Source organism: Homo sapiens, chromosome 9, assembly GCF_000001405.40.
Source record: "Homo sapiens chromosome 9, GRCh38.p14 Primary Assembly".
Classification (NCBI taxonomy): domain Eukaryota; kingdom Metazoa; phylum Chordata; class Mammalia; order Primates; family Hominidae; genus Homo; species Homo sapiens.
Genome location: NC_000009.12, coordinates 137,581,685 through 137,590,987, shown reverse-complemented (window position 1 = coordinate 137,590,987; position 9,303 = coordinate 137,581,685). Strand labels below are relative to the sequence as shown.

The following is a 9,303-nucleotide window of genomic DNA, read 5'->3' as shown; positions in this document are numbered from 1 at the left end:
CTCCAGAAACACCCGCGTCCCGCGGCAACGGCCTCTTCCTAGCCCGCCTCGCCCGCTCCCCGCCCGCCCAGAGGGCCCCGCACGAGCTCCGTCCACCTCCTCCTTCCGCGCTCGGGGCCAGGACGGCGGCGGGAAACAGCTTACGGAGGCTACCGCAAGGGAGGCGAAAAGCAGCCAGCTCGCAGAGCTCCACGGACCCGGCGCGAGTCCCCAGCCACACTCCGCACTGCCCCTCTAGGCGCGGCGCCGCTGCCCGCACAAAGCTTCCCGCGAAACTGACGTCGGCGCGCGCAGGCACCGCCCCCGGCCTCGCCCCTCCCCCGCGCTCGCCCCGCTCCCCAGAGCGCCGGCGCACTCGCCCTCCTCCTATTGGTTGTTGCGGGGCGGCGCGCGCCGGTCGGCGCCGTGCGCGCCTAGCCATTGGCCGAGCGGCGGCGGGCCGGGGGGTGTGTCCGGGGCTGCGCCCCGCCCCTCCGCTCCGCTCGCTGTGGTGCGCGCGGTGGCGGTGGCGGCGGCGGCGGCGGCGCGTGGCAGGTCCGGCGGGCGCGAGGCGGCGGCGGAGGCCCGAGCCCGGCCCAGCCTCGTCCCGCCCGGAGCCCGCCTGGCTGCTACCCCGACCCCGGCTCCGGTCCCGTCCTGTCCCGGCGCGCCGCGGCCTCGCCCCGGCCCCCGCTCGGCGCCTCCCGAGGGAGCGGCGCTGCCGGCCGAGAGCGCAGGCCCGGCCATGACCGACTTCAAATTGGGTATCGTGCGGCTCGGCCGGGTGGCCGGGAAGGTGAGCGGCGCGGAGCCCGCGACCCGGCCCGTCTCGCCCGTCCAGGCCTCCGCGCGGGGCCGGGGGCGGTTGTGCGGGCGGCGGCCGGGGCGGGGGCGCGGAGCCCGGGATGGGCCCCAGCGGGGCGGGGGACGCTGCGCGGGCCCGGCTGCTGGCCCCGCGCGGGTGCAGCTTCCTCTCGCAGGCCGGCGGGCACGCACCCCTCGGCTCTGGGGTGCACCTGGCCACCCTCGGCCCTGCCCTGCCGGAGGTGGAGGCCACGGCCCTGTCCCGAGCCGGGTGCGGAGATGCGTGGCTCGAGCCCGAGCCGCGTTCTCCCGGAGCCCTCCCAGTGGTGTCGGCGATCCGGGGCCTAGCGCGGCGTCCGGGCTGCCAGTGCGGCCACACGGTTTAAACACAGCGCCCTTTCCGAGGCAGCGCCACTTCCACACCTCTCGCCGAGGCGGGTCTGGTGTGGGCTCTTCTGTGCCTCCCAGTTCTCAGCAGGGCTTCAGGCTCGTTTTAACGCTGCCAGGGGTTGGCCACGTTAGGCTGAGCCTCAGACTCGGAGCAGAGAGGAAGAAGCCTGGGCCCTGATGCTGCAGACTCAGGGCCTTCCTCGACTTCTCTTCTTACTTGGCCCCCACGCTCCACGTTTGAGGCTGGGGATTCCATGGCACCTGTGGGCATTGAGGCTTGGCGGTTTCTCGGAGCCACCTGTGCAGCTGCACCAGCCAGGGTCCTTACCCGGATGGGAGCCCTGTTCCCGTCACCAGCGGCTGCGGCTTTTGGTGGGAGAGAGGAGCCGAGGCAGTGTCAGGCGGCGTCAGGTAAAACAGGTTCAGATCCCAGAAGAAAAACTGCCAAGAGGGAGACTGGCCCGTTCTGGGACCTGTTCCTGTTTCCTGCCCCTGCTGCAAGAGCATAGGCAGGGCCTGCTGGGGAGGAGGCTTTTTTCCACCAGGGAAGGGTGGGCTCTCCAGTCAGGTCGGAGACCAGAGACCCCTTCTAACTCCACCCATGATGGCATTGTCATCCCTTACAGCTTTTCTTTGGAACATTTCAGATGGACAAAAAGCTAAAAAGGGTAATCAGTGAGTAGCTCAGCTTAATAAACACACCCTAATCAAAACCTTCTGGCTCTTCTGCCTCAGCCCCGGCCCCTCCCTCAGCTCAGTGAAACAGTCTTTGCCTAGGTTTATTGGTGCGTTGAATGTTCAGTGCCACTGTTGGGGTTAGCCCTGCGAGGATGAAGCCTGATACCAGCTCCTCTGGCGCAGACTAAAGTGGGCAGCTGGCTTTTAACCTGTCTGCCTGTGTTTTGTCGTAGACTGCACCACCCCAAACGGTGGAATGAGGCCCCCATGTGCTGAGCTGTCTTGGTCTGAAGAGGCCTGTAGTTACTTTCCACTTCACAGGAAAATGCAACAGGCTCCTGCCTGTTCTGGTTATAAGGTTACTGCACCTCACGCAGATCCCAAATGTAATGATTTGAAACATGTGGTTAACTTCCAGACCAAATACACGCTGATCGATGAGCAGGACATCCCGCTGGTGGAGAGCTACTCCTTTGAGGTAAGTAAGGATGGCTGTTCCCTCCCCTGATGCTCGTGGTCAGTGCCCAGGAGGGTCACGAGGAACGAGCTCTCTCCCCTGTGCTGCAAGAGCAGGCGGCCCCACAAGTGGACAACTGGTGCTGGCCTGTGAGCCCTGAGCCGTCAGCCCCACTTCGAGCCGTGGCCCTGCAGAACCTGGCTGTTGCTGCCACTGGAGCCCACTGTGGCCCACATGGCCTGGCGACAGTGGTCTTCCTCACTTTCACCCCAGCTGCCAGCTCCTCTTGAAAGCAAATGGAATGTTCTCATGTTTGTGATTGTGTCACGTGGACCATGTCTGTTAGCTCGAAGACCCTGCTCTTTAGAGCTAGCCACCTCTGCTGGGCCTGCCTTAGCAGTCCCTCCTGGCTGCCCAGCTGCCTCCCGTTCTCTGCTCTCATGGGGTCTTCCTGCCTCTTCCCAGCTTCCATTCCTGCCGCTGAGCTTGGCCTCCCTCACCATCCTTTATCTCTGTGCCCCACACATTCACAGTAGTGACCTCTCCAGGGGGTTCTCTATCTCACTGCACCGTGGGCTTTTTTTAAGGGTAGGAAAATGTATTTGTCTATGTCCCATTGTATTTTGCAGAGTTGTTTGTGAGTGTTTCTTGCTCGAATAGACAGAGTGGTGGTGGGCCACGCTGGCCCCTGGGAGCCATGTGCCTGTGGGAAGCTCTGCACTCCCCAGGGTCTCAGGGACAGGGCTGGCATTTGTCCCTCTGGCTTGCTTGTTTCACTTGGTTTTTCTAAGAGGGAATTGAAGTGTTGCTGAGAATTGGAGGTTTTTTAACAGCTCTTTCCCTTGTTCCTTCTCAGGCCCGAATGGAAGTGGATGCAGATGGAAATGGTGCTAAGATATTTGCCTATGCCTTTGACAAGAACCGAGGAAGGGGCTCTGGGAGACTCCTTCATGAGCTGCTGTGGTGGGTGTTTCCAAGCTGTCTCTGCCCCCCGCCACTGGGCTCCTGGGTGAGCTCCGATGGCACAGGGCGCCTGGAGCCCCCTGCCCCGCTGAAGCCCTGCCTTGCCTTCCCTGAATCTCGCAGTTATTTTTGTGTCCTTCACCACTAACCCAAAGGAACGAATGATTTGTATGTTGCACTTCAAACACCAAGTGGACTTTCTGCTGGGAGCTTGCCCAGGACCGGCAGCCTCTGGAGGGACGGTGGTTGCTCCCCTTGCTGGGTTTTGCCGAGCCCCCCCGGTGTGCATGGTAGGGACCACTCAGATGGGGAGCTGTCTCGAGGCCATCTGCTTAGGTGGTTTTGCGTTCCAGCTTTGGCTGTCTGTGCTCTGAAGTCCAGGGGCCGGGTCCTCCCTGTGTCCCTGTCCTGTTTGGGCCACAGATCAGGTGCTTGGGTTTCTCTCAGCAGCTTCCGCCTGAGGTACCCTCATCCAAAGGACCAGGGGCCCGATCAGATCACATGGCTGACATTTCTTCCTGGAAGGACTTTGGTACCTGACCAGAAATGTCTGTGAGGGTGGGAGGCAGCGATGCAGGGTTAGATGCAGGGTTTGCTGTCTGTTTCTAGGGAGCGGCACCGGGGGGGCGTGGCCCCGGGCTTCCAGGTGGTGCACCTCAACGCTGTGACCGTGGACAATCGCCTGGACAACCTGCAACTGGTGCCGTGGGGCTGGCGGCCCAAGGCTGAAGAGACCTCCAGCAAGCAGAGGTGGGTCTTCTCAGGGCCTGGCGATGCCAGCAGAGGCGCCTTTTGAGGAGGGCCACCGCCAAAGCTCTTGTTTCCAAGAGGGTCTCCTGTTCCTCCTCTGAGCCCTGATGCTTCTGTGTATTTTGGGAATTTCATTGTTTTTCCCCAAAGCGTGGAATCCTCCTTTTCTTCATGGGAGCGGGAAGGATCTTGATGGTGTGTGTTTTTGCATTGCTCCTCTTATAATTGGCTCTGGGAACCTCCCTTTAGCTGGCATGACAGTGGGGAGAAGGGCTGCCTGCTCCAGGGCAGGGCCAGCGTCGGGACTCGGTGTGAGCAGGGCTTCTGCCCCACACCCCTGGGAGGCATCAGCCTTCTCTCCTCACCTCAGGATTCCTTCCTTCTCTGCTCACCTCAGGATTCCTTCCTTCTCTCACCTCAGGATTCCTTCCTTCTCTCACCTCAGGATTCCTTCCTTCTCTCACCTCGGGATTCCTTCCTTCTCTCACCTCGGGATTCCTTCCTTCTCTCCTCACCTCGGGATTCCTTCCTTCTCTGCTCACGTCAGGATTCCTTCCTTCTCTCCTCACCTCAGGATTCCTTCCTTCTCTGCTCACCTCAGGATTCCTTCCTTCTCTGCTCACCTCAGGATTCCTTCCTTCTCTGCTCACCTCAGGATTCCTTCCTTCTCTGCTCACCTCAGGATTCCTTCCTTCTCTCCTCACCTCAGGATTCTTTTCTGTGCACACAGATGGGTCTTTTTGTTGTGTTCTTTTGCTAAACAGTTTTCCTTAAGCAAAGGTTTAAAGCGGAGAATGGTTCAGGGCTCAGCCCTCGGCCCCCGACCTGCCTGTGATCCTGAAAGCAGTGCTTTGCATGGGCTTCCCACCTGGGAGGGCGGTTCCTGCTGGCCCTAGAACCAGCCAGTCTGTGAACTTCATGGAGCCCTTGGGAAGAGCCAAGGGACCAGCAGGATAGGGGTTGGGAGCCCAGTTGAGCCAGGGAGTCCCCAGCCACACACGCTTCACTGACATGTTCCCCTGGCGCCCTGGGGCTTTTGGGCACGTCCTCAAGCCTCTGGGCAGCCTTTCCTGGTGCAGGCAGTGCGAACTGCCCTAGCAGATGGTTGTCAGCAACGCTGGTAAGGTTTAGTGTTTCGGGCTTGGTGATGGTTGGTGGCTGTGGGTAGAATCTTTGCAGTTGTCACCTCAGAGTCATGCCAGAGCCCTGGGCAGCCGAGGTGGAAACAGTGGGAGCACCTGACACACTGGTTGGTGATGTGGGGACAGTCCCCAGGCCTCCAAAATGCCACTCCCAAACTGCTGTTCCTGCCACCCTGGAGGGAGTCCTACAAATCCCCCCCCATCCCTTCCTCACTGGGCCTCTCAGGACGAAGGCAGAGCCTGAAGTGTCTTTCGTTCTTGTTGGGCTGGTGTTTTTTTTTCCCTGCTCTGTTTATTTCATTAAATTAATTAATTTTACGGATGGGTCTCACTATGTTGCCCAGGCTGTTCTTGAACTCCTGGCTTCAGGGAATCCTCTTGCCTCAGCATTTTTTTTTTTTTTTTTTTTTGAGACGGAGTCTGGCTCTGTTGCCTAGGCTGGAGTAGCGCGACCTTGGCTCGCTGTAGCTTCTGCCTGCCCAGTTCAAGCAATTCTGCCCCAGTCTTCCTAGTAGCTGGGGTTACAGGTGCCCACCACCACGCCTGGCTAATTTTTGTATTTTTAGTAGAGGTGGGATTTTGCCATGTTGGCCAGGCTGGTCTTGAACTCCTGACCTCAGGTGATCCGCCTGCCTCAGCCTCCCAAAGTGCTGGGATTACAGGCGTGAGCCACCACGCCTGGCCCCGCTTCAGCCTCTTGAGTAGCTGGGATTACGGGTGTGCACCACCACGCCCGGTCCTTGCTCTAATATTAGAGTTTTGACCTTCCTCATACTGCTTGTGAGTGAAGCCAGGCCTCTTACGATTGTTGAATGGGGTTTTTATTCTTTCGGGGATTATGTTAGTTGGAACTTTGGGTTGCAAGAAACAGAAACAAAGGTCAATTTGGCTGAAACAAAAATAGGGTACATTTTGGTATCCTGACTGAAATGTGGAGAGCCAGGGATGCTGCTGCCTCCAGCTCTGCGCCCCCACTCCCGGCTCCTCTCTGGGAGGCGGCATGGGCACTACCTAGCACTTGCGGACTGAAGCAGGCACCCTGTTCTAGTGGTGTCTGGGGAAGCCCTGGGATGAACTGTAGTTAGCTTGCTTAGAATCACTTTTCTACATGAAAAGGGAAGGGGAAGGGGAAGGCGTGCTTGGCAGGCAGAGCAGCATCTGTAGCATCTCCTCCTGCGTTGTCCCACATTGATACATGCTCAGTGTTGATGCTGGGATGGGCCCTTCCCAACTCCGCAAGTTCGCCCGCTGCTCACCACTCCACCTGGCAATGCCTTCTGTCCCTGCCATGGTGCGGGTCATTTCAGCCGGTTCTCAACAAGACTCAGGGTCCGGCCAGCCTGTGACTGAATGTTACCTTGAATCCTCTCAGCACCCTTTATAATCAGGAGAGGAGATAACTGCCGTTAAGAACAGCCGTTTGGAAAGGGGGTGTTGGGCTGATGCTCCTGGTCAGCCCATTCTCTGTGGGCACGGCAGGATGCCCATTCTCTGAGGGCACAGCAGGACGAGTTGCGCTGGGGCTGCTGCCTTACACAACCCCCTGCTACAGGAGGTGGGCCTGGGGTGGCTCAGGACTGATCAGGCTCAGCCATCTTTGGTTTGCCAACATGGGGTTTTAGAACCCAGCAGGTGTTGGGCCTCTTGTGCTGGGTCAGCACCCCAGGCCCCGAGCAGAAGTCAGAGCTGGCCAGTGTGGGCCTGACATCCTGTCTGGCTGGGTGCTGTGTGTCCGTCTGGATCCTGGTCTGTGGCCTCCTGTGATCCAGCTCTTTGTGGTGGGGTCACCCTGTCTTTGTTGACTGGCTGGGTGCTGTGCGTCCGTCTGGATCCCAGTCTGTGGCCTCCCTGTGGTCCGGCTCTTTGTGGTGGGGTCACCCTGTCTTTGTCAGGCCTGGGCTATTGCTTTGCTTTCCTGGCACTGTGTCAGCTCAGCCCCCACAAAAGGGGCCTCTTGGCAAAGGGGTGTTTTCCTGTTCTGTCTTCAGAAGCCAGCAGTGTCTGAAACTTGCCTCTGTCTGGTGGGACCTCACCAACATCTTCCCATGTCCTGATCCTTCCCCGTTTTAACCAAGTCTCCTCAGGGTCTGGCTTCGGAGAACGGGGTTGGTGGGGTGGTTTATGCAGCTTCTTTACTCCGTGATGCAGCAGGGCTGGGGCTGCCCACGCTTGCCTCTGAGCAGCCAGTGCACATGCCTTTGAGGCTCCGTTCTTGGTAGAACTCTCCCGTTGTAGGCATCTGGCCTACTCAAGCAGGAGGAGTTTTTAGACGGACGTAGGGCAGCTCCCGGTATGGAAGGGGAAGTGGACCGACGGGGCAGTAATGGGCACCTCTGCAGGTCAAGGGCAAGGAGAGGGGCCGCCTCGCTTTGCACAGGGGCCTGACCTGGGCCCTGTCTCCTGCCTACTGTGTGCCTGTCAGTCCCAGGTGCTGGGGAGAGGGTGATAGATGAGGCCATGCTTACGGGTTAGTGGGAAGATGAGACACAATATTTACTGTCAGGTGGTGAAAAGCACATGCAGCAGGGATGGGCCAAAGGAGACTCAAACTCGGGCTGGGTGTCCTGGGCAGGATGGCACTCTATGGAGTCATTGCATCGTCTGCTGTGTGCTGGCCCCGTTTGGCCAGAGTGCACTCAAGTGTCTGCTTCTTTCTTTAAGGGAGCAAAGCTTGTATTGGCTTGCAATTCAGCAGCTGCCTACAGACCCTATAGAAGAACAGTTTCCTGTCCTAAATGTGACCCGGTATTATAATGCCAACGGGGATGTAGTGGAAGAGGAGGAGAACTCTTGCACCTACTATGAGTGCCACTACCCTCCCTGCACAGTGATTGAGAAGCAGGTGGGTGTGCTGCAGTGCGGTCGCGTCCCTGGCACCTCTACCCTGTAGCCCAGCCTTGGTTTGGGATCTTGCCCTCCACCGCGGGGTCCCATTCCCCAGAGACCGCTTAGCACCTCTTGGGCTTTTCCACCAGAGTGGTCTCCCTTTGCCCTTGTGCTGGCCTGACCAGGGCCCAGGCCCTCCAGCCTTGGTACGTGGTGTTTTGCTGGGTCCGTCAGATTGTCCGTAAGACGCAGCCTTTGCCCCACACTGCGTCCCAGGCATGATGGTGAAGCCACAGGTGTTCTGTATTTCAGCTCCGGGAGTTCAACATCTGTGGGCGCTGCCAGGTGGCCCGGTACTGCGGCTCCCAGTGCCAGCAGAAGGACTGGCCTGCCCACAAGAAGCACTGTCGGGAGAGGAAGCGTCCCTTCCAGCATGAGCTTGAGCCAGAGCGATGACGGGCAGGGGAGCCACACATACTCACAGCCCCCGGGCTCTACCCTGGGCACAGCAGAGACAGACTGGTGGTTGAACCTGGAGGTGCCAAAAAAGCCAGCTGCGGGCCCAGGACAGCTGCCGTGAGACTCCCGATGTCACAGGCAGTCTGTGTGGTTACAGCGCCCCTCAGTGTTCATCTCCAGCAGAGACAACGGAGGAGGCTCCCACCAGGACGGTTCTCATTATTTATATGTTAATATGTTTGTAAACTCATGTACAGTTTTTTTTGGGGGGGAGGCAATGGGAAGGGTAGAAATTACAAATAGAATCATTTGCTGTAATCCTTAAATGGCAAACGGTCAGGCCACGTGACTAAAAACTGTCCTGTTGTCGAAGCTTCTCCCCTGGGCCGCCGGGAGCCCCGTGGAGCGCGGCCTGCACGGGAGTTGTGTCCACAAAGGCAAAGTAAAGGGGTGGAATCATCTGGCCTCTCGGACATTCTCTGCTCCGCCTCCCTCTTGTGCTGCTTAGGGTGAGGTCATTTTGAGTGGAGCCGAGTCCTTGTGGGTGAGGCAGGAGGACCCTTGTTCCTGGTGGGCCCTTCTGAGGAGCGGGTGAGCTCAGACCTTCCTGAGTCCAGCAGGGAGTATGAGTGAGACTCTGTCCTTGTCTTGCGGCAGGAGTGGTGGGGTTGCTAAGTCAGCTGCCCGCTGTTTTATGGGGAGTAGGATGCTCTCGCCCCTGACATTGGTTAGTTCTTGCCTGATTTATGCATGAAGTGGCTGGGAGCTCAGCAGTGAGCTTCTGCCCAGAAGAATCCACAGGGCATGTTCAGCAGGCCTGCTGCAGATGGTGGAGGGGGCTGGCCAGCCAGGGTG

At 59.0% G+C, this 9,303-nt stretch overlaps 1 protein-coding gene across 2 annotated transcripts, besides 6 other annotated features; it reads left to right on the top strand.

The window, feature by feature from the left end:
• Positions 191-580: a silencer, noted in NCBI's record as "silent region_20632". NCBI's record gives its function as "represses an Ori minimal core promoter by ATAC-STARR-seq in GM12878 lymphoblastoid cells {active_cell/tissue: GM12878}" and the evidence as "EXISTENCE:reporter gene assay evidence [ECO:0000049][PMID:35858748]".
• Positions 476-8,907, top strand: ZMYND19 (zinc finger MYND-type containing 19). 2 transcript variants are annotated; one of them, NM_138462.3, is made up of 6 exons: positions 476-775; positions 2,270-2,329; positions 3,165-3,271; positions 3,881-4,021; positions 7,825-8,005; positions 8,302-8,907. In NM_138462.3, exons 1-6 carry the CDS (start codon positions 725-727, stop codon positions 8,443-8,445), a joined length of 684 nt encoding a protein of 227 aa, NP_612471.1. In that variant the 5' UTR covers positions 476-724; the 3' UTR covers positions 8,446-8,907. The 2 variants fall into 2 exon arrangements, with proteins under 2 accessions (NP_612471.1, XP_005266109.1); XM_005266052.5 differs by lacking the exon at positions 476-775 and adding an exon at positions 801-1,584.
• Positions 861-970: a silencer, noted in NCBI's record as "silent region_20631". NCBI's record gives its function as "represses an Ori minimal core promoter by ATAC-STARR-seq in GM12878 lymphoblastoid cells {active_cell/tissue: GM12878}" and the evidence as "EXISTENCE:reporter gene assay evidence [ECO:0000049][PMID:35858748]".
• Positions 1,021-1,070: a silencer, noted in NCBI's record as "silent region_20630". NCBI's record gives its function as "represses an Ori minimal core promoter by ATAC-STARR-seq in GM12878 lymphoblastoid cells {active_cell/tissue: GM12878}" and the evidence as "EXISTENCE:reporter gene assay evidence [ECO:0000049][PMID:35858748]".
• Positions 1,341-1,390: an enhancer, noted in NCBI's record as "active region_29354". NCBI's record gives its function as "activates an Ori minimal core promoter by ATAC-STARR-seq in GM12878 lymphoblastoid cells {active_cell/tissue: GM12878}" and the evidence as "EXISTENCE:reporter gene assay evidence [ECO:0000049][PMID:35858748]".
• Positions 1,913-2,430: an enhancer, noted in NCBI's record as "H3K4me1 hESC enhancer chr9:140483010-140483527 (GRCh37/hg19 assembly coordinates)". NCBI's record gives its function as "activates a minimal SCP1, AML or CMV promoter by ChIP-STARR-seq in primed H9 embryonic stem cells {active_cell/tissue: H9 hESC(primed)}" and the evidence as "EXISTENCE:reporter gene assay evidence [ECO:0000049][PMID:30033119]".
• Positions 2,431-2,949: an enhancer, noted in NCBI's record as "H3K4me1 hESC enhancer chr9:140482491-140483009 (GRCh37/hg19 assembly coordinates)". NCBI's record gives its function as "activates a minimal SCP1, AML or CMV promoter by ChIP-STARR-seq in primed H9 embryonic stem cells {active_cell/tissue: H9 hESC(primed)}" and the evidence as "EXISTENCE:reporter gene assay evidence [ECO:0000049][PMID:30033119]".